The sequence below is a fragment of the Homo sapiens genome, chromosome 6, assembly GCF_000001405.40.
Source record: "Homo sapiens chromosome 6, GRCh38.p14 Primary Assembly".
Taxonomy (NCBI): Eukaryota; Metazoa; Chordata; class Mammalia; order Primates; family Hominidae; genus Homo; species Homo sapiens.
This window is the reverse complement of record NC_000006.12, coordinates 102,197,665-102,222,643: the sequence shown is the minus strand read 5'-3', so window position 1 is coordinate 102,222,643 and position 24,979 is coordinate 102,197,665. Positions and strand designations below refer to the sequence as shown.

The 24,979-nt window shown below is 34.4% G+C and overlaps 1 long non-coding RNA gene across 1 annotated transcript in view; it reads right to left on the bottom strand.

The window, feature by feature from the left end:
- The window catches only part of LOC105377913 (uncharacterized), a 64,390-nt gene that overhangs the window by 2,723 nt on the left and 36,688 nt on the right, over nucleotides 1-24,979 (bottom strand). Inside the window, exons 3-4 of the long non-coding RNA XR_942820.3 lie at nucleotides 3,373-3,508; nucleotides 2,068-2,222 (exon numbers count right to left, since the gene is read on the bottom strand). This is a non-coding gene — a long non-coding RNA (uncharacterized LOC105377913). The remainder of the gene's footprint in view (nucleotides 1-2,067; nucleotides 2,223-3,372; nucleotides 3,509-24,979) is intronic.

The following is a 24,979-nucleotide window of genomic DNA, read 5'->3' as shown; positions in this document are numbered from 1 at the left end:
TGAAGGCAGTATAGTGTGTTCAATGAAATGAAAAAAAAAGAAAAACAAAACAAAACAAAAAAACCCTGTGTGGCTGGAATGGATGCAGCTTAGGAGAATGTGAGCATTAAACCAGATAGGTGTAAAAAAAAAAAAGTGCTTTATAGTTGATAAAAGGTATTGCAAATATTAAGAACAATTATATATTTAATATTGTCTGTAAGTTGAACAAGAGTAAATGTGCTTTGCAAAGAGGCCAGTGAGGTACACGTGGCCCTCAAAATGTAAGACTATTGTAGGCCATTTTAAGAAATTCTGTCTGCACTTTAAAACAAATATAACTCTCAGAAATTTTTAAATTGGATAGACAGGAATGAGGGTGGGGCCAATGAATGCCATCAGATTTGTGTTTCATCAAGAGTACTGTGGTGTGTTTAAACATGAATTAGGTAAATTAGATAATAATAAGAGGCTGATGAAGCAAAACAGGTAGAAATAGTAGTTAGACTGAGTGGTTTCTGGTAGATACCAGGGAAGTGATCTGATTTGAGATGTCCTTTGAAGGGAAAGTCCGCAGGAAAGTTGAAGAGGGCATTGTCTGATAACTCCTGGATTTTCCATTTACATAATAGACAAGTTGTAGAATCTAGAAGAAATGCAAATTTGAATAGGAGGAAGATGAATTCAGTCTGATTCCTTTAGCGAGAGGTGGTATGCAGACATTCAAGAGGTAAGGCCAAATAGACTGTTGGGAGGTCTACATCTGTATGGTCCAATCAGTAGCCAGTAGACATGTAGTTATTAAAATAAAATTTAAAGTTCAGTTTTTCAATCTCACTAGCTTCATGTCAAGTGCCCTATAGCCAAGTGTAGCTAATGGCTACTGTTTTAGTCAGTTCCAATATAAAAAATTTCCATCTTAGTGGATAATTCTGTGGGAGTACACTGGTCTAGGTAAAAATTCAATTTGTGATTTTCCTGCAGAAAGGGGTAAATAAAGGTGTTAGAGGAAGAGTAACGAATAGAGCTGCTACTTGCAGAATGCTATCTTTAAACAGAAGAGAAATAATGACCAGACAAGTAATGTGGAAGACCAAGGAGTTTGCATTATTAAACTCAAGGACATAAAACACTTCAAAATATGGGAAATGGTGAACAGGTCTGAATGCTGTTAAGAAGCAAAGGCAGGCCGGGTGCAGTGGCTCATGCCTGTAATCCCAGCACTTTGGGTGACCGAGGCGGGGGGATCACTTTAGGTCAGGAGTTCGAGACCAGCCTGGCCAACATAGTGAAACCCTGTCTCTGCTAAAAATACAAAAATTAGTCGGGCGTGGTGGCAGACACCTGTAATCCCAGCTACTAGGGAAGCTGAGACAGGAGAATTGCTTGAACCAAAGAGGCAGAAGTTGCAGTGAACTGAGATCGCGCCACTGCACTCCAGCCTGGGCGACAGAGCAAGACTCCATCTCAAAAAAAGAAGCAAAGGCAGATGAAATAATCAATTGTGTGCAGTAACAAGTATTTGAAAAAATAGTGAGATTTCCCATTTTCAGAAGAGTGTTATGGTGAAAGCAAGAAGGGAGTGGTTTGAAGAGTTAATGAGAGATTGGAGAATTAGTACAACATTATGGATAAAATCTTCAATACTTGGTTGTGAAAGAAAACAGACAAAGTGCAATAACTCCGGGACCATGAGTTGTCAAGTGGGAGATCTGTATATCTACATATGTATGTACATATCTATCTATCCATTTATCTATCTATACATTCAGCTTCATTGAAAGAATGTGAATGAATTGAATAAATGAATTTAACTTAAAGGATAATTATCCATTGGGAGGGAAAAGAGGTAAATATACAAGAGTGAGAATAAATAATCTATGATGTAAAATCCTGAGGAAAGAGAAGAGATATAATACAAAGCAAAAAGTGGGAAGATTATCCTGGGATAGATTAATACAATTTACCAGAGTTCCTGTGATTTTAATATTTGAGTCATCTTTGAATTCATTGGTTTTGCTTTTGTTTTTCTAGTATGAAGCAATCCAAACACCTGGTTTCCACATGCACAAAATGTATTTTACTTACAGGTATTTCTATTTCCATGCTTGTCTGTTGTTTATATTTGCTTTTCCGTGATAATTTCGGCTAACTGAGTTAATGAAGCTTAGTGAATCATGCAAGACTCCTCTGTATTTCTCCCACATAGCAGTTACTTTCCAAATGTTAACTCCTTTCCCTGTCTGAGTAAATGGAACACTATCAATGATTTAGAGTTAATAATTACATGGTCAGATTTTTGTTTTGGGTAATTTCTTCTTCAGTTAAGTAGACAATATTTCTAAGCCAAGAAAAGACTGAAGTTAGGGCAGATAGTCATAGGTAAATGCAATAAACCAGCAGAGAAATGACAAAAGCCAGTGTTGTCAGGGATGTAAATGAGAAAAGTCAAGACAATGAAATAAATAGCCACCCCCACCCAAAAAAAGAAACTGGAATGTAGAATTATCTACAATACTAAGAATTATGTTGGCTTCCTGTTTGTATTTTTTAAATCACTTAGTCTAAGATTTAATGTTAGTAACAGCATTACAGCGTGTGTTAGTTTTGTCTATTTTTGTATGCATTGATCCAGTACATAACATATGCCTACATATTGAATAGATATACATAGTATATGCCTATATATTGAATAAATACCGATTATATATCATACTCATATTAAAATCAAATTTGTATCAAAATATACCAAATACTTATTTCATGAGTGTGTAGACTTAAATTTTTTATCTCTATACAGTTTCAATTTTTTAGATATATTTGGAGATTCATACATGAATCAAGTAAACAGATATCAACCAATAAGTTCAAAATATTTCAGAAACTTGAAATAGTTAGCTCAGCTAAGTCATTATAGAGGAAGTCGTTAGTATAGATGAAGTGTAATGCTTGGATTCATTACATTTTAGAATATATAGGGATAAAATTATAGATGAAAATTATAGAAAGGAGTAAAAAATCAAGAATATTTAACAATAATAAGAATTTAATAATCTAAAATGTATTTATACATTTCAGCATGTTGTGTTTTTCTAAAATGAAAAACTATGTCTTTCTTGGATTTTCATGCTCCTCACAGAATTGGCTAGGGCTTAAGTTACTTCTTTGTCATCTTAATATTCTGCTAATTGGACAGTTTAGTCTTGAGCCTTTGCCTAGCTTTGGATTTAGTTGTATTATGATACAACTAAATGTCTCCATTGTACTGCATTTTTATTAATCATCTGAATTACCTCAAAATACCACAAATGGAACCAATCATATCATAAAATGAACATGTTCTTACTATCCATTTCTTATCTTGGCTAGTGTCATAAGTATATACTCAGTTACCAAGTCCTGAAACTTGAGGGTTCTACTGGATTCCATCTTTTTATTTATTCCACTCTTTTAGTCAGAGGTTGTGATTCATTTAAAATTTCTGTTCTGTGAGAATCTTGTTCCACTCCAGTCCACATGGCACTATTTCCTTTGATGACAAAGAAAGAGAGAAACATAAGCTTACTTAAAGGTTTCTGTAAAATGTATTTCCAATATGTTAGCTATCTCTATTTTCAATTATGCAGATTGTAAAGCCCCTACAGCCTCCAACATATTCTGAGTACCAAAGCCTAGGAATAGAGTCCATCCTGTGTTCCTGCTAAGATTCTGTGTGTACTCTCTCATCTCTTCCTTTGCCTTAATAAAATAATTGTAATGCTCTTGGAATTTTGATGGGGAAGTAATGCCTAGATTGATTTTGAACTGAAAATGTCTCTCAAATTGCATGAAGTGCCTCAGCTACAAACTCCAAGATTTTAAAAAATGACCATAACATTTAGTCTTTATTCTCTTTCTTCAAAATTTAGCCCCCAAATTTCAAGAACATATTTGGATATATTCAACATATTTTATAGTCTATGATTTTGAATATTACTTTTGTTCAACACTACCTATTTAGCAAATGCATTGTGTTTGATTCTTCCATTCATTTATTGCAAACAATGCAATATAATCCCTTTCTTTTGTTTCTTACTGCAGTCATTTCTACTACTTCAGAAAATGGAAAGGAAATATTAAAAAAAATCACCTTATTTTTCCCAAACTGTCTGGAATGAAGGATCACCTTATTCTTCCCAAACATGAATGAATATACACTGAATGATCCCAAGGTCATCATAGTATACTATTTAGAAATGTGTGCTGAAAAGTCAAGCAGGACTAAATTTAAATGCCAACTACCACAAACCAACTGGAAATATTTACAAAAAACAATAAATATTTTCAGATGTGATTTTATGCAAGAATGTGTTGTAAACACTTTAGATAAATAAGAGTCAATTTTCCTGTGATGAGGTCGCTGAAGTTAGGTCTCTTCCAAACCTCCATGGAAACCAACAACTGCTGAGCTCTCAGGCAGCCAACCTTGTATGAGGCTGAGATGAAGGACTGAGACACCGGCCCAGTAAGTTGTACTGATGCAATCACATGTCTGAGAACCCAGCCTTCTGATCACACCATGTTGCTTCTCCACACGTATTTCTCTAACCACGGATGCTGATCTGGGAAATTAGGTCTTGCACTAACATTCTGCCCATCAGAGTGCTATAGAATTTTACCTTGGAGGGGATGGTGATTTTTAATTATGCAGTTTAAATAGCCCCACAGCCCAAGGGCTGGGTCCCTCTCCCAGAACCTAACATCCGTTCTTGCTTTATCCCTTGACCTTAACCCAAAATTAAATCGTTTACAGAAGAGCCACACTCTTACCGATGATCCAGTCTCATACCTCCAGTCATTATGTGTATGTTCTCTGACCATATATTTGAAGTCTGTTGACTCGGTACTACATTCTCAGTTTTCGTTGTTATTTTCCATAATATTCTTCTACATGCAAAGTCATAACCCAGCATTATAGTTTTCCTCTATGGCTTTACACCAACTTCCGGTTCTGCCCCAAATATCCTTTTCCTCTGCTCAGTAAATACCTATTCCTTAGGTGTTTCCTTAGAAGCCAAGTTAGATGTCACTTTTTCCTTTGTGTTTTATATTGCTTTCTGAATAGAAATGTTAATAGATGAAGATAATCACTGTACCTGGTACCAGTTTTGTTTCTACATATTTCTAGAAAAACATATAAAATAATAATTTTAATTGTTTATTTGAAAGTTTTGCTCTCTCAGCAAAATAAAAGTTTTGTAAGGGCAGGCAACATTCATCATTTTATCCCCATCTCTTAGCAAGATGCCAAATCAGAGTTGACATTTTATAAATTTGTGTAAACTAAAATCTGCCATAAAAACACCACTCAGAATCTATTGTGACACAAATAACCAAAATATTTAGATAATAAAGTTCAAAGCTACAATTTGAATGAAAATGATGCCACCATCTGGCTCATCACAAAGAGAAAGAGTTACAAAAATAATCTTTCAGAGTACTGATTACAAAGTCAAAATATACTTGATAACCCTTTGAGGGAAATAAAAATTTTACCAGTTATGCTTTCTTAAAATGTCTCTTATAATTTCAAAATAATATTGAAATATTTGGATTTGAACAATGATCTAACTTTCATGGCATTGTATGGGGCATATGAGGTCTATTGAATGGCTTCTTATAGTCACAACATCTGATCTATTGGCCCAAAAGAGTACAAATTACTGCTGTCATTTTGATCTTTTATTTTTTATTTATATAGTTGAGTCTTCTTCCTAAGTTGGTAGCTTAAAACAATTGATTTAAAAAGTTGATTCCTATCCTGTCGTTTATCTAACAAAATATCTCCCTGAAATCATGGGTTGCAGTTATTTCTTAAAATACTGGCATATCTTGTACTACATGCCACATATTCTATTTTTCATGAATATTCATCTCTTCCTATACCATACTGCATATTTCTAGTTGATTGATAATAATTTATAAAGATATTTGATATTTAGTTTTCTCATTTTGGTATGTAGGTATGAGATTCAAGCACGTAGAATACATGGAAGTTTTCCTTTTCACATGGGAATGATTATATAAATAAATATTCAAAAAAAGTGCTTCAGGGAAGAGGAAAATCCAAGTGGTTGCAAAAACAGTGAAGGGGAGACAGATGCCAAGTTTGCTCATCTGTGAGGGGCACTTAAAACTAGAGATCACATTCACTAAGCATGTTAACTATTCACAGTTTTACCAGCAGAGGCACTGCCCTTAGACTGAAATTAAAATAAGAATAAAAACCAACAAGAACAAATATACCTAGAGAAAACTCATCTCAGCCTAATTAATTTTTCATTGAGCATATAAATTCACAAATGGATTTTTAAGCCAAATGTCGCATGGTACATTTTAGTTAAACCAAAAAAAGCGATTTATTTTATTACCTAAATCACAGATATAACTATAATTCCAAAATGTTCTGTAAACTGGAAATTTTCTAAAGCCATCTGAAGACAGAGAAAAACTCCAGAAAAGTCAGAAATGTTTAGTAATTTTTTAGAAATAAATAATGTATTCTCTACTTCAGCCAGAAGTTGACAAGGAAGCAAGTCTCTTTTTGTGTACAATTTTCATCATTAGAAAAGTTGCATCACAATCCCACCAAACACTTAAGCAAATGAGTTAGCATAAAATATCAAGTTGTCAAATGAGACACACAAATCAGAGACTTTACTGTTTCAAGCTTTCTTAATAATTTCAAGTAAACAAGCTTTTAAGAGGCATAGATGAAACAAGAGGTGAGGATTTTCTACGTGCCTTTCTACACACACTGGATACACCCTCTTGGCCAAGTTGAAAGTTGAGGTCTAAAGTTAAGGAAGTGTGTGGTCTCCTTACTGACACAATCTGAAGCCAATTCAGTCATGAACTATCTCCATTTATTATTCAGATAAATAAATAAATCGTGTGGCATTTTCCAGAGAGCCATCCCCTAGCAATCCAAAGATTCCAGATTTATTTATAGTAAGCAATCTTAGATCAGGGACATCTGACATTCAAGATGTTTACAGGAGCATATTTTCTAGGCTCATATAAAGACTCTTGCTGGCATATGTTATTAGTTTGCCAGAAGGTCAGTTATTAGTGTGCTCACTAGGCGATTAGACCGGGATCACCTGCCTTCTTTCTATCTCAAGTGTGTCCCCCAACCTCATGAATAGGAGCAAAATGAATTGTGAGTTGTTCCTTAACATTTTTTTTTTTTATCTAGCATACATTTAACACACCTGGTGTGAAGTGACAGCAAATATTAGCATTCCATCACCCACTTTAATTGGAAATTGGACTGACCCAATGCAGGAAACTATTAGAAACTTCATGTACCAACATGCAACAGTAAGTCACTGGATATTGGCGGTAAACTATTAACATTAAGATAAAAATTGCAAACATGGAAGGTACAAAATGTCTTTACCTTCACAGTGAACTGCTCAAGGATCTGCTACATAGCAGAAGCATGATCATATTTGTCAATTTGATTTTTTTTATCCAGAGACAACTTTTAGTTTTGAAAGAAAAAAACTTCAATTTAAAGATTCAAATTAGCTTTCCTATATTTCAATTTAAACCTCTAAAATATTTTAAATCACACTATTTAAGAATATGTAAGTTGACTTTGACAAGTTTTAGCAGTATTAAACTTGTTTTAGTTGTAATAAAAAATACGTAAATTTTCTGTAGGTACCGCATAAAAGCGTATAAAACTGGCAGAAAAAGTAATGCTGCTGATTTCAAGTTTTAAAAGGCATGTTCCAAAAATGGATAGTGAAAGTAGAATGAACATTATGCAATAAAAAGAAAAATATGCTTAACAGAAGTTTTTAATTGACTCCTACTGTCTATTATTAAATAGCATAAGTGTTAACTACAATCAGTCATACTTTAAGCTGTTGGTTTAATTTACTTAAAAATGTTATTACTTATATTTATTATTGTTTTAAACAAATTTGTATCAATTTCCTTAACGATGGGCATTTTTGAAAATTATTTGGCTGCTCTTTTGTAAAAACAGAAACAACAAAAAGGTTTATCAATACCAATATTTATTTAGCAAATGACTTTTTAAAAATTGCTTTTCTTCTAAAACTAATGAGCCCAAGGTGACACCACAAATAAATAAAATGAGTAATATAAATTAGTAGAATCAGATGTTTCAAAATTAAATTTGGGGGAATGCAATAAAAAATATTCATTCTGGCTTATAAACCTCTCATAAATGCAAACAAATATAAGTGAAGAATAATTATGATTAATATGAATTTATACTTTACTTTTATCTTTATTGAATTTATTAAAATATGTGTTCTTTCACTGCAACAGAACTCCTCAGGTTATATGATAATTTAGGAATGAGTAAATATTTTTTGAAATAATTTTAAGATTTTGAGAAATACATGATTTAAAAACTTTTTCAGCCGAGTGCAATGACTCACACCTGTAATCCTAGCATTTTGAGAGGCCAAGGCGAGTGGATTGCTTTAGGCCAGGAGTTTGAGACTGACCTGGGCAACATGATGAAACCCCACCTCTACTGAAAAAGTAAACATATAAATAAAATACAGAAACTGAGGCAGGAGAATCACCAGAGCCTGGAGAGGCAGTGAGCCATGATTGCACCAGTGTACCCCAGCCTGGACAACAGAGTGACAGACCATTCAAAAAAATAAATTGCCCCATTGCAGTCAAGCACTGCTTAATGACAGAAATATGTTCTGAGAAATGTGTTGTTAGGCAATTTCATCATTGTGTGAATATCAAGGAGTTTACTTACACAAACCTAGATGATGCAGTCTACCATACACCTAGGCTATATGATATAGCCTATTGCTCCTACAACCCTGTACAACATGTTACTCTACTGAATACTGCAGGCAGTTGTAACACAATGGTAAATATTGTGCATTTAAAAATTTAAAAGTTTCAGTAAAAATATATTACAATCTTTCAGGACCATTTTCTTATATGTGGTTCATTGTTGACCAAAATGCCATTAGGCAATGCATGACAGTATTTTATATTTGTTCTTGATTTTTTGCACATAATTTTTGAGCAAACCAAGATGAGCATGTAAAACTGTAGGCTCCCTGTGGTCACTATTTTTGGTGCCAATTTGAGAATTTGTGTTTTTATTATTTCCGCTAACATATTGTTGTGAAATCTTATAAACATTCAGAGTAAGTTTTGTTTTCACTGATTTAGGAGTAGCTATTAGAATTTCAAGATTGCTGAGGTTTACTAGTTTTATTTATACAGCCATATTTATATAGTAGTAGTTATTTACATCTAGCATACTTACAGATAGTAAACTCTAAAGTTTAAATATCACATATATGTTCAGAAAAAGAATTATTCATATGTTCAGCCATAAGGAAATATGACATTTAAAAAAATTATCATGGATAAATAAATCAAGGTATATTACAGCATTCTGTTAAAGCCAAAATGATACAGAAAGTAAAAATATCAGTGATCGCTTGCCAGGGGCTGGGTAGGATGGAAGAATGAATATGCAGAGCACAGAGGAATTTTAAGGCAGCGAAAATATCCTATGATACTAGAGTAGTGGATGCATGTCATTGTGCATTTGTTCAAACCAATAGAAGGTACAGTAGCAATAGTGAGCCATAATGTAAACCATGGATTGTGGGTGATTATAATACAGCAGTGTAGGTTAATCAATTATAACAAATGTGGCACTCTGGTGGCTCTGGTTGGGTATTTTAATAATGGAAGAAGCTATGCATGGGTAGGGACAAAGGAGCATATGAGAAATCTCCATACCTTCCTTTGAATTTTGCTGTGAACCTAAAACTACTCTAAAAAGACAATAAAGTAACAGAAAATTATTATATCATTGTAAAATTTTTCTGTGCTGTGTTCAAAATGATTTTAAAATTTTTATAATGATGAATATTGCATTAGTCAGGGATCTTTAGAGAAATAGAAACAGTAGGAGATACACACACAAACACACACACACACACACACACAAATTATATATAATTCAGTTATAGAGAAATAGATACATAGGTTTTGTTGTTGTTGTTGTTGTTGTTGTTGTTTTTCTTTTTTTGATGGAGTCTTGCTCTGTCTCCAAGGTTGAAGTGTCTTCGCACAGTCTCGGCTTACTGAGGCCTCTGCTTCCTGGGTTCAAGCAATTCTCCCACCTCAGTCTCCCAGGTAACTGGGACTACAGGCCCATGCCACCACACCTGGCTAATTTCTGTATTTTTAGTAGATACGAGATTTCACCATGTTGGCCAGGCTGGTCTCTAACTCCTGACCTCAAGTGATCTGCCCACCTCAGACTCTCAAAGTGCTGAAATTACAGGCATGAGCCACCATGCCTGGCCCAATTATATATATTATATACAGAATATTATGTGAGATAATTCTAATATATATATATGTTATTGTGAGGAATTGGCTCACATACTTGTGGAAGTTGAGAGGTCCCAAGATATGCTGTCTGTAAGGTGGAGATTTAAGAAAGCTGATGGTATAATTCCTTACACCTGAATCTGAGGGTCTGAGAACCAGGGCAGTCCACAGTGTAAAATTCAGTCCAAGGGCCAGAGGAGCTGGGATGAGATGTTCTAGCTCAGTCACTGAGACAGGGAAAGAGAAGTGACTTCTTCCTTTTTCCACCTTTGTTCTATTTAGCTTTCAAGGGATTGGATGGTGCCTACTCACACTGGGGAGTACAATCTGCTTTACTCAACCTAAAGATTCAAATGCCAATCTCCTCCAAGAACACTGTCACAGAAATACCCAGAAATAACGTTTAATCTCAGCACCCTATAGACAGTCAAGTTGATGAGTAAAATTAACCATCACAATGTCTGAAATTACATTATATATATAATATATGATATATATACATTTTTTACTGTGCTTTGATTATTAGGCCACAGAGACATTTATTTTAAGTTGACTCTGAGAAACTTTTCAGTCTATTCTTTGATCTCACATGACATTGACAAGGGCCAGATGATCTATGTATTCAGTTATATTGTAATTTACCTTTGGGATATTTTAGTGGTTTTCTTTTATTTTTAATTTGCATAGCTTTAAAAACATGTAATTTAAGGTTTAAAGGAAAATTAATCTAGAAGAAGGAGACAAATTACATTTATTTTTACTATGTATGTGTTAAAAAAGACAATATATTTTTGGATAGAAACTATAATACATTCTAAGTTGTTTATAAAGTATGGTACTAATATATATTAAGTAGAAAAAAGTCAAGAAAAATAGTTTTTACATTTTTTAATACATGTTTCTCTGTAATCTCAAATTATTTGACATTTTAGTACATAACTTGAAAATGAAGTGAGAAAGCATACATGTATTAAGCATGGCCATAATGACCACTTAAAATATTCTTAAAGATATTTTTAAAAACTCCCTTTTGTTTAGTTACCACCATTTGGAAACCACTGACACAACGTATTACATCAGGGTTGGCATGCAAGCATGTGGAATAGATTACAACCAATATAATAAATTTTCAGTTGCCCTCATTAATAAATAAAATAATAACTCCTTAAATTTAAGAGCTAAATATTTGTTTCTTAAGCTTCAGTCTTTTATAACAGAATAAAAGGAAATATATATTAGTCAAATCACATACGAAGGTTTTTAAATTTTTTTGCAAGTGTATAAATGAATTTCTGTGGCAGAAACTAGAAAGACAGAAATTTAGGATCAAATATTGGTAGGAGAAGGGCCCTAATAATTTTACTTAGGTTCTGGCTTGTAAACAGTGTTGACTTGTAAACTTGATATGTAGAATATGCTTCACCATTAACAAAATGGGCCTCTAACAGACTGTGAAAGATTATTTAATTTTGTTACAGTTCTTCCACCCTTTCTCAACATTAACTATCACAGTTAACTGGGCCTATAATATAATTTTCACCCATTGCAGTTGGTTATTGTATTAATCCCTTTTCACAATGCCGATAAAGACATACCACAGACTGGGAAGAAAAAGAGGTTCAATGAACTTACAGTTTCACATGGCTGGGGATGCCTCACAATCATGGTGGAAGGCAAGGAGGAGCAGGTCATGTCTTACATGGATGGTGGCAGGCAAAAAGAGAGCTTGTGCAGAGAAACTCGTGTTTATAAAACCACCAGATCTCATGAGACTCATTCACTATTATGAGAACAGTGCAGGAAAGACCTGCCCCCATAATGCAATCACCTCCCACTGGGATCCTCCCACAAAACCTGGGAATTGTGGGAGTTACAATTCAAGATGAGATTTGTGTGGGGATGCAACCAAACCGTATCATTCCACTCCTGCCCCCTCCCAAATCTCATGTCCTCACATTTCAAAACCAATCATGCCTTTGCAACAGTCCCCCAAAGTCTTAACTCATTTCAGCATTAACTCAAAAGTTCACAGTCCAATGTCTCATCTGAGACAAGGCAAGTCCCTTCAGCCTATGAGCCTGTAAAATCAAAAGCAGGTTAGTTATTTCCTGGATATAATAGGGTTACAGGCATTGGATAAATACAGCTATTCCAAATGGGAGAAATTGGCTAAAACAAAGGGGCTAAAGGCCCCATGCAAGTTCAAAATCCAGTGGGGCAGTCAAATCTTAAAGCTCCAAAATGATCTCCTTTGACTCTATATCTCACATCCAGGTCATGCTGATGAAAGAAGTGGGTTCCCATGGTCTTGAGCAGCACAACCCCTGTGGCTGTGCAGGGTACAGCTTCCTTCTTGGCTGCTTTTATGGGCTGCCATTGAGTGTCTTTGCTTTTGCAGGTGCACGGTACAAGTTGTCAATGGATCTACCATTCTGGGATCTAGAGGAAAGTGGCCCTCTTCTGACAGCTTCACTAGGAAGTGCCCCAGTAGGGACTCTGTGTGGGGACTCTGACCCCACATTTCCCTTCTGCACTGCCCTAACAGAGGCTCTCCATGAGTGCCTGCCACCCCAGCAAACTTCTGCCTGGACATCTAGGCATTTCCATACATCCTCTGAAATCTAGACAGAGGTTTCCAAACACTAATTCTTGACTTCTGTGCACTCACAGGCTCAACACCACATGGAAGCTTCCAAGGCTTGCAGCTTGCATCCTCTGAAGTCATGGCCTAAGCTTTACCTTGGCCCCTTTTAGTCAAGTCTGGATCAGCTTGAGCACAGAGCACCAAGTCCTAGACTGCACACAGCACAGGGGCCCTGGGCCTGGCCAGTGAAACCACTTTTTCCTCCTAGGCCTCTGGTTCTGTGACGTGAGGGGCTGCTGTGAAGACCCCTGACATGCCCTGGAGATATTTTCCTCATTGTATTTAGGATTAACATTTGGCTCCCTGTTACTTATGCAAATTTCTGTGCAGGCTTGGATTTCTCCTCAGAAAGTGGGATTTCCTTTTCTATCTCATTATCAGGCTGCAAATTTTCTGAACTTTTATGCTCTGTTTCCCTTTTCAAACTGAATGCCTTTAACAGCACCCAAGTCACCTCTTGAACGCTTTGCTGCTTAGAACTTTCTTCCATCAGATACTCTAAGTCACCTCTCTGAAGTTCAAAGTTCCACAAATCTCGAGGGCAGGGCAAAATGCTGCCAATCTCTTCATTAAAACATAACAAGAGCCACCTTTACTCCGATTTCCAACAAGTTCCTCATCTCCATCTGAGACCACCTCAGCCTGAACCTTATTGTTCATATCACAATCAGCATTCTTGTCAAAGCCATTCAACAAGTCTCTAGGGAGTTCCAAAATTTCACACATTTTCCTGTTTTCTTCTGAGCCCTCCAAACTGTTTCAACCTCTGCCTGTTACCCAGTTCAAGTCGCTTCCACATTTTCGGATATCTTTTCAGCAGTGCCCCACTCTACTGGTACCAATGTACTGTATTAGTCCCTTTCCATGCTGCTGACCAAGACATACATGAGACTGGGAAGAGAAGGATATTTAATGGAAGTACAGTTCCACATTGCCTGGGAGACCTCACAATCATGGTGGAAGGCAAGAAGGATCAAGTCATGTCTTCCATGGATGGCAGCAGGCAAAAAGAGATCTTGTGCAGGGAAACTCCCATTTGTAAAACTATCAGATCTCATCAGACTCATTCACTATCAAGAGAACAGTGCAGGAAAGACCCGCCCCTATACTTCAATCACCTCCCTCTGGGTTCCTCCCACACCACGTGGGAATTGTGGCAGTTACAATTCAAGATGAGATTTGGGGGGGGGACAAAGTCAAACAATATCAGGTATCCATATGATTTGTTTGGGCCAATGGAAGGTGTGTAGAAGAAAGAAAATGATTAGTACCAAGCTGAACACTTAATAGCTATTGCCTGTTCTCATTTGCACCTATAATGGTTCTGCCATTTGCTGTGAGAATGCATGTACTAGGAAGGTGTTAGTCAAAGAGATAAAGGAGACATTTGAGGTACATCTGTATCTAAATGTCATCCCTGCTTCTGGCCAACATGTGAGTGAGAAAATACTAATTTTGTTTGTTGCCAGCCAATGAGATTTTGATGCCGTTTGCTATGAACATTATTGCAGTAACAGTTGAACTCCAATCAATTTCTCCTTTAGCTAAATTAACCAGCCATGATAACACATTCTTCTATCTATATTTGAACATGGGTATATTGAAAAACTTACAGTGTGTTAATATGTGTGTGTGTGTGTGTGTAAGAGAAAGCTGAGTCTTTGTCCATGCATTGCTATGCTGCTTTTCCCTTCATACACTGAGAAAGCACCCACTCACTTTTGCAATGCCACATTCACACTCTTTAGAATATTTTACATAACCTACGCATACTTTTTTCCCATCCCTGCTTCTTGAAAACATTTTATTTTGTTGTTTGCTATAAAGTTTAACGTGACATTCAGGGCTTTTCACATGATCCTAACATGCAAGTCTATGCTTATGCTTTTCCTCTTCGATTCATACAAGGCAGCTCAGTTAAGGATGCCCAAATCTGTCCAAAATTTCTCACAGTTTTGCCTTTACTTATGTCATTTTCTTCACTTGGAAATTTTTCCATGTTCTAGCTTTTATATTCACCACACTTAATTTCTTGCATCAGAACCAAGGTGCCAAAGAGCTTAAATTGAACTGGATGTAACATTATATATTCCTACCTTAAAAATAAAATGCCAACTTAGAAATGATATATATAGAAAGAAAGTAAAAACAATTTTTCTCTTTTGTTTTCTTTTGTAAAGAGAAAAAAAATCAAAGAAAATAAAAGATGATTATAAGAAAGATATTGAAAAATCCTGGTTTACTTCCCACTCCCTAAAAAAAAAAATCTGAAGAAAAACATATCAAAGTAAACAGCGGATATTCTAGAAAATCTACAGTGAATACAGAGCAAAACAGAAGGTCATTTCTGTATGCAGTCTTGCCCAAAGCCAAGAAATAAAACCATAAATTATTTTTGAGATTTTGTTTTAAAGATCAAAAATAAAAAATACAAGCTATTATATTCTAGGATAAAAATCTCTTTTCATTTACTTTAGTTTCTGGCATTGTACATGTCTTTACTTTTCTTGGCATTAGTGTTCATTATTCAGAACAAACCAGTTTTAATATCTGTATCAAAGATTGATGATAAAGTAAAATTAGCTAAGTAAAAACTGTCACTTAAGCTTTATATATTTCATAGAACTTTCAGATTTGCTGGAATTTTGATAATAATAGACTAGTATAAATTTTCACATGTTAAAAATAATTTATATATCTATTACATATGGTCTTTCATAAAAATATGTGAATATAAAATTGCAAATGGCTTTTTTATGATATTGGAAAATATATATTTGCTTCAGTATAGAATCTAATTAATACTAATTATATAATTGTTTATATCAGAGCAAAACTTTAAGTTTTCATTTCCTAACCTCTATATCTGTACAAAGCAATTTTTAAGCTTATAAATTTAATATGTATTAAGAATGTGTTATATCCTTTTCAAATAAAATGCATTTTGATCTTGTATTTGACTACAATGAAGTGAACGATTGAAGAAAGTTTTAGAGTTTTTATTTCTGGTTAAGAAACATAGTAATCTGTGCAAGAGGGCATGAAGTTAAAATGATGAGATTCTATTAAATGGAGCTTAAGGAAGGTAAAGGTTGACTCTAAGAAAATTTGGTTGGGTTTTACAGAGAAACACATATCTGTGTGACATTTTACAGGCTAAAAACTTTAATAAAATAAAAGGTATTGCCATTTTAAAAGGTATTCATAGAAAATCTTCTAATATTTCAGAATTACAGAAAAACATTTGATATTTATAATTTAAAAAATTGATGTATTTTAGATAACTATCACACTTCTTAATTTAGTAACCTTAACAAAAGATCTAACAGTAAACAAAAGAAATCAATCTAATATTCTTATGAAGTCCATAGGTAAATTAAAATGGCCAAAAATTTTGAGCACTGAGTAAAGGTAGCTGACTAAAGCCTGAAGACAGACAATGAGGGAGAGACCATGTCTTGGGGTTCAATGTTCCAGGCAGAGGGAAGAGTGGGTGAAAAGCCTTTGAAGCAGGAGCATGCCTGATGTGTTCAAGAAACAGCAAAGAAGACAGTGTGGCTGGAGCAGACGATACAAGACAGAAGCAACAGGAGATGCGTTCAGACAGGAGCCAACCATGCACATCCCTGTATTTGGTGGTGGAGAATTTGATGTTTTACTCAGAATAATTTGCAATCAGTAGAGAGTTTTGAATAGAGGATTAACATGAACTGGATTACATTTAACAAGAAGCCCGTAGCTGAAGTGTTGGGAATGAATTGAACAGGAGCAAAGACAAAAGCAGGGAGATCAAAAAATAGTATTAAGTTTTCGTGATGTCCATGCCAAAAATTAAAGGAAAATGTGGACCATGGGTTAGAACCAGAATCAAATTAAAGGTGTTATGACCAGCAACCTACAGTATTTAGCAAAGCATACCACATATTTGTTAAAAATTAAAGTCACTTAAGCAAAATTTACTAACAGTTTTTACCAAATCTAACTAAAATAATTTTTAAATGTAGGATTTAAAATAAATGAAATTCAAGTAAAGCAGTTAAGAAACTGTTGATATAGTATAGCAGAGACAGAATATATATTTGGATTGTGGTGATGAACATGAAGAAATCAGCCAGGGTTTAAAAATATTTAGAACATACTGATCAATAGAATATTGCCATGGCTTACCTATGCCTTGAAGCATTAAGGAAGAGAGGCCAGGGTTTAGAATGTACTCAACTTCTAGGCTTCTGATTTGTGAAATAGAACTGATATTCAAAGGAAGAAATCTGGTACCTTGTCCCATCTACTGTTATATAAGCATGAAAATGAAAAAAAATGTACAGATATTAGGTTGGTGCAAAAATAATTGCCATTTTTGCCGTTACTTTTAATGTCAAAAACTGCAATCACTTTTGTACCAATCCAATAGAGGATCTACAACATATATCATTCTAGGTATAAACATATAGTGATGGTTTTAACACACATAGAAAGAAATGCCAAGTTGCCAGGTCTTCATTAATAGAAAGTGTATTTAATTAATATAATCATTTATAATTATTTTGACTACAGGTGATAAACTCATGGGTATGGCTGAGAGCATGTAGAGATCAAATATAAAACAAGAGAACCTAATTCAAGCAGGTGTTCTAATATTTTCTGCCATGGTGCAGATAGGATTGGCATGGAGATAGAAACATAAGGTCATCTTGTAACTGCATTTTCTATGGAAGCAATGTGGCATCCAGGGAAGCATGGGATATCTTGGCAGGATCACACTAACTTTTCCTAATTTATCCACGCCTCAAAACATGAGTAGACCACAGACCTGACAGAGAATATGATAATTGAAATTATTATCACTACACAGATTCAAAAGCATCTGAATAGAGAGGAAAACGGATTATCCAATGCCTGACAAAGTGGTTGGGGTTTTCCCTGATGCTCCAGAAAGGCAATTGAGTTTAGCTATGAAACAGATACAAGGATAGCTGGCAAGAAAGCGAGGTCAATCATAAAGCTAAATGCAGCGTCCTTGCTCCCAGGGCAACCACCTCATCAACACAGAAAGTAAACTATGCAGAAATGAAATTCCTCTGTTAGAATTGCCCAGAGCTATGGTTCCCTTGCTGTTTGAGTCACTTTGCTAAATTGCTATACAGGAAATGTAAATTTAGATCAACAAGGCTTCCAGCATATGATCTGAGGAGAGCCCTAAAATAGCAGGTAGGTAAACAGTAAGGAAATTTAACAACATACACCAACACTAATTATAATATATACAAGATGGGGTGTATATAGAAATTCAAATGTAAATGAACAGTCACAAAATACCTTAAAGAAGGAAAGAACAAAATAAGGAAAAGGGATAAATGTGTTTTGGGCTGTAAAATGTTCTGTAACATAAAAGAAGTTATCATAGACAGAAAGATTTTGTGAAGAATAATTACAAAATGCCAGCAATTATTCCTATCTTTGTAACCATCACCCTTGTTATGGAACTTTAAGGGCACTCTCAATCTGACTCTGTGCCCTGTCCTGTGATTTGCTTTCCAATGGGACATCAGTGAATGAGAGGTAAGTATTTAAAAAACGATTGTGTCTTGCAGATTATCCTCTCTTGCTGCTCATGGAATGCTGATGCTCTATAAGAGGTATGGACTAACTAGCTGGATATGAGGAACAAGTGGTCCTAGTCATGTCTATGCCACAACCCACAGCCAACCAACTGCAAGACATGTGAGTAAAGCCTTCAACAATTAGCCAGATGAAAGATACTAGCCTAGATCACCTGCACCTGAATAATCCCTAGGAAAATCATCAGCTTACGTACCTTTAAGTCCCCAAGTTTAAAGTGATTTATGTGAAATTAAAACCAAGTGATACAGATATTTATGCATATTTTTGTTTCTAACAAAAGTACAAAAAGGATGTAATCCACCTTAACTCTGTGATTATGTATTTACCTATGATTATTGTATTAGTTCATCTTCACACTGCTAATAATTACTCGAAACTGGGTAATTTATAAAGAAAAAGAGGTTTAATGGATTCACAGTTCCGTGTAGCTGGGGAGGCCTCACAGTCATGGCAGAAGGCATGGTGGCATCATACATGGCAGCAGGCAAGAGAGAATGAGAGAGCCAAGCAAAAGGGGTTTTTCCTTATAAAACCATTAGATCTTGTGAAACTTATTTACTACACCAAAACAGTATGGGGGAAACAACCCCCATGATTCATTTATCTCCCACCAGGTCCCTCCCAAAACACAAGAGGTTTATGGGAGCTACAATTCACGATGAGATTTGGGTGGGGACATTGACAAACCATATCATTCCAAACCTGTCCCCTCTCAAATCTCATGTCCTCACATTTCAAAACCAATCATGCCTTCCCAACAGTCCCCCAAAGTCTTCTTTTTTTTATTATTATACTTTAAGTTTTAGGGTACATGTGCACAATGTGCAGGTTTGTTACATATGTATACACGTGCCATGTTAGTGTGCTGCACCCAGTAGCTCATCATTTAACATTAGGTATATCTCATAATGCTATCCCTCCCCCCTCCCCTCACCCCACAACAGGCCCTCGTGTGTGATATTCCCCTTCCGGTGTCCTTGTTCAGTTCTCACCTATGAGTGAGAACATGCAGTGTTTGGTTTTTTGTCCTTGCAAAAGTTTGCTGAGAATGATGGTTTCCAGCTTCATCCAAGTCCCTACAAAAGACATGAACTCATCATCTCTTATGGCTGCATAGTATTCCATGGTGTATATGTGCCACATTTTCTTAATCCATTCTATCATTGTTGGACATTTGGGTTGGTTCCAAGTCTTTGCTATTGTGAATAGTGCCTCAATAAACATACGTGTGCATGTGTCTTTATAGCAGCATGATTTATAATCCTTTGGGTATATACCTGGTAATGGGATTGCTGGGTCAAATGGTATTTCTAGTTCTAGATCCCTGAGGAATTGCCACACTGACTTCCACAATGATTGAACTAGTTTACAGTCCCACCAACAGTGTAAAAGTATTCCTATTTCTCCACATCCTCTCCAGCACCTGTTGTTTCCTGACTTTTTAGTGATCGCCATTCTAACTGGTGTGAGCCCTCAGAAATAATGCCACATATCTACAACTATCTGATCGTTGACAAACCTGACAAAAACAAGAAATGGGGAAAGGATTCCCTGTTTAATAGACGGTGCTGGGAAAACTGGCTAGCCATATGTAGAAAGCTGAAACTGGATCCCTTCCTTACACCTTACACTAAAATTAATTCAAGAAGGATTAAAGATTTAAATGTTAGACCTAAAACCATAAAAACCTTAGAAGAAAACCTAGGCTAAAATACCATTCAGGACATAGGCAATGGGCAAGGACTTCATGTCTAAAACACCAAAAGCAATGGCAACAAAAGCCAAAATTGACAAATCGGATCTAATTAAACTAAAGAGCTTCTGCACAGCAAAAGAAACTACCATCAGAGTGAACAGGCAACCTACAGAATGGGAGAAAATGTTTGCAATCTACTCATCTGACAAAGGGCTAATATCCAGAATCTACAAAGAACTCAAACAAATTTACAAGAAAAAAACAAACAACCCTATCAACAAGTGGGTGAAGAACATGAACAGACACTTCTCAAAAGAAGACATTTATGCAGCCAAAAGACACATGAAAAGATGCTCATCATCACTGGCTATCAAAGTCTTAACTCATTTCAGCATTAACACAAAAGTCCACAGTCCAAAGTCTTGTCTGAGACAAGTCAAGTTCCTTCTACTCAAGAACTTGTGAAAACAAAAGCAAGTTAGTTACTTCCTAAATACAAGAAAGGTACAGACATTAGATAAGTACACTCATTCCAAAAGAGAGGAATTGGCCAAAACAAAGGGGCTAAAGTCCCTCTGCAAGTCCAAAATCTAGCAGTGCAGTCAAATCTTAAAGCTTGAAAATGTTCTCTTTTGACTTTATGTCTCACACCCAAGCAAAAATGGAAATCCCTTTTAAAACCATCAGATCTCGTAAGACTTATTTACTACCATGACAGCAGTATGGAGAAAACTTCCCCCATGATTTAATTATCTATCTCTGGGTCCCTCCGACAACACATGAGAATTATGGGAGCTACAATTCAAGATGAGATTTGGTTGGGAACTCAGCCAAACCATACCAATTATGATCTAGTTGATACAAATCTGTGGAAAATGAGACAAAATTGGGGAGTCATGCCTTATTAGAAAGACAGAGAGATATTTTTAAACCAGTGACACTAAATGTAAGAAGTTTTTAAATATGTTGAAAACTGAATATGTAACAATTGCAAACAACAACAAAAAAATCCCAAAATAAAAAAATGAGAACAGTAATAATAAAGGTCTAAAGCCCATATTATATTAATGAAAAGCAATAAAAAAGAATATGAGTCAGTAGAAAAAGGAAATGGCATACTTTATATTTGGATTGATACATTAGGAACTCAAAACACACATTCTTGATTAACATAATTAATAAAATATAAATCAGATGAATGATGTGTTTAGTAAATATTATTACTAGTAGACCTAAAAATAGTATATATAGCTAAGAACCTCAATCAAAGCAAAGCATGTGTAGCTATATGAAAACACAGACATATAAATTATGTGATGATAAATGTGAGGCAAATAGATTATGCAAATACAACAAAAGAAAACTAGGTCACTCAAATAATGTAAGAAAAATAAAATTAAAGGCAAAAATCATTAAAAGGTACAGTCATTTGATTTTTATAGATAGTATAACCTACAATGCAGATATAATACCATAAACTTTCAGTTCACAAGTTGAACAAAGATTGATAGAACAAAAGCAAACTTCTAACACATCAACTTAGAAGAAGAAATTAACATAATTATATGGTTGTAGAAGACTGTACCTCACTACTTCTTCCCTCTAGATATACAAATAAATAAGAAATCACAGAATCTGAGTTATTCAAATAATTTTAAGTACTAGAAAATGAAGTTTTAAAAATTAGAGTGTATTTATATTTAAATTATTATTAAAGATACCAACATGAAGAACCCAACCACCTGAAAATATTTAAACTTAAATATTTCTGAAAAAGCAAACCACAAAATTGTGATTGTACATGTTTAAAAAATAATGGTATGTCAAAAATGTTTAGAATGAATCCCAAACTATATTTAAATAAAAATGCTCAGTTTAAAGTACAGTAAGTCCTCACTTAATGATATCAATAGGGTCTTGAAAACTGCAACTTTAAGCAAAACATCTTCCAGTAGGTCCTTTAAAAACAACATTTCGTTTTTAGTGTTGTTTCATTGTGACATTGATGAGAAAAACAATTTGTTTTGTTATATATAGCTTTGCTTAAAGTCACAGTTCCCAAGAACCTATTGACGACATTAAGTGAAGACTTACTGTAGTTTCCTTCTCGAATTACAAAGAATATAACAACGTTAAGCAATCAAGGCAACGGTTAGAACAATTAAAAATTCAAATTAAGTTTAGTAAATATACACAAGAAGGATAAATGTTTTTTCAGAACATATACAGAGAAAGAATAGAAAGAGAAAATGGAAGAAGTACTCCCTTCTCCCAACCCTTTTATTTATAACATTTATAAGTTAGTCCTCTTATATTCAAATTTTCTAATAGGATTTAATTTGAACAAAGTGTTCAAAAGCTAAAAATTGTTAGAAAACACTGGTTTCAAGCAATGTTACTTGTGCATATTAATACAATTATATTAAATAAATGCCAATCAAATAAAAAATAAAACCAGAGTATATCAGCTATAGTTTTTGATAATCATACAATACCTACCAGTATAAACCTATAAATGGAATGCAAAACTTGCATTAGTCAAAAGGTATAAAAAGAAATAAAAAAGATCTTCAGGGACATAAAAATGAATTCAAGAAAATTAATTATTCATTACTAATAGAAATATTTTGGTAAATTAGCTGACAAATAATTTTTTAAGTCAGAAATAAGACAAAATGTTTATATTACTCCTATTATTTAAAATAGATTTGGGAATTCTAGCTAATACAACAGAAGAAGTAAAATATCCAATAAATGTAACTGTTGAAAAGAAGGAAATAGAATAAATATTCTATGCATATTTGGAGTATCTCTTATGAAAACCCAAGAATATCAACTGTAAAACGAAGTGACCAACATAAAAGTTGAATGATATGGATAGTTTTAAAATAGATATAAAACAGCTAGTAGCTATCGTTTCCAACATAAAAACTATAAATAATTTAAAAACAATTTTCATTGGATAATTTAATCATACACAATAACATTAAAATTCCTATGACTACATTTAAAATAAAATAGTAAAACCTATAAAATGAAAATAACAACCTATTAGGGGTAATAAAAGAATTTTTAAATAAACATCAGAAACATTTCATGTTTGTGCATAGGAAGATTAAATATCGTAGAGTTTCTAACTCTCTAAAAATGAAGCTACAAATTTAATGCAATTCCAATTGATTCTTTTTTGCACCTCAAAATATGAAACTTATTGTGTCTGTGTAAACTTGCATAGGTCTATGTGTGCAGGCATACACAAAGACACACGTCTATGAAACATCAATAGATTTGCAAAGTATGGCTTAAATATATTAACACAGCCACTTGGCAACACAAATATATTAGATTTCTTCCTGTTATACACACAATATAAAGAATATCTATGTCTTAAGGAACCATGTAAAAAGGAAATAAAAGGAAAACCACAATAAGTGAAACATGTGCACATATATACAAGGGTTATTGTTTTAATATGGTAATATTTATTTTAAACTATTAAAAAGTGACAAGAATAGAAAAAAAGGTAAAAGATATAAAAAGTTGGATACCCAAAGAAACATATAAACGGCCAATTGGCATTGAAAATTTGTTCAGTTTGGCTTAACTCATCAGGAAGACAGCTTCTTCTCCACGGGGCTAGCTAAACTAAGAGGGCTTGACAATGAAGCTTGCTGCAACCGCTGCTCCTGCTCTCCAGAAAGAAGTTTTGTAAAGACTGACTCATGCAGAGATGTACAGAGCAGAGAAATGGAGAAAGAGTCCCTGGACATGGCTGTGCTAAAAGCCAGAACTGCACAACCCTGAACTTGGGCTAGTGGGACTTTGTAATTAAATGAGGAATCAAAGTATTATTTTAATATTAAAATAAAGTTTATTTTATCTAGGGCTCAGATAAAGATGGTGGTGATTAACAAAGTTTGGAATTAAGAGATCAAATAAATAATTCCAAATTGCCTATTTACATATATAAATGTAAATTGGTAATCCTTTTGGAGAGTATTTGGCAATATTTATCAACCAACTCCAAAAATTTAAACTATCTGGACTAGTAAGACCTTTCTTTGAAAAATATCCTATGCAAATAATCACTTTGCACACAAAAATATATGTATAAGAATTTTAGCAATATAATTATTTATAATAGGAATAAAAAGAAAACTATATGTTAATAGTAGGGATTACTTCAATAAATTATGGCAAATTCCTTGAATAATAAGAGCATTTTCAGAAAAATATTTCATAAAATGTTAAAACTTTGCTGATATTCTGTTAATTAAAAATAGGAATTTTATTATGTTTCAATCTTTGTTGTGGGAAGTCAGGGACCCGGAACAGATGGATCAGCTGAAGCCACAGCAGAAGAAGATAAATTGTGAAGATTTCATGGACATTTATTAGTTCCCCAAATTAATACTTTTGTAATTTCTTAAGCCTCTCTTTACTGCAATCTCTGAACATAAACTGTGAAGATTTCATGGACATTTATCACTTCCCCAATCAATACTCATAATTTCCTATGCCTGTCTTTACTTTAATCTCTTAATCCCATCATCTTCGTAAGCTGAGGATGTATGTTGCCTCAGGACCCTGTGATGATTGTGTTATCTGTACAAATTGTTTGTAAAACATGT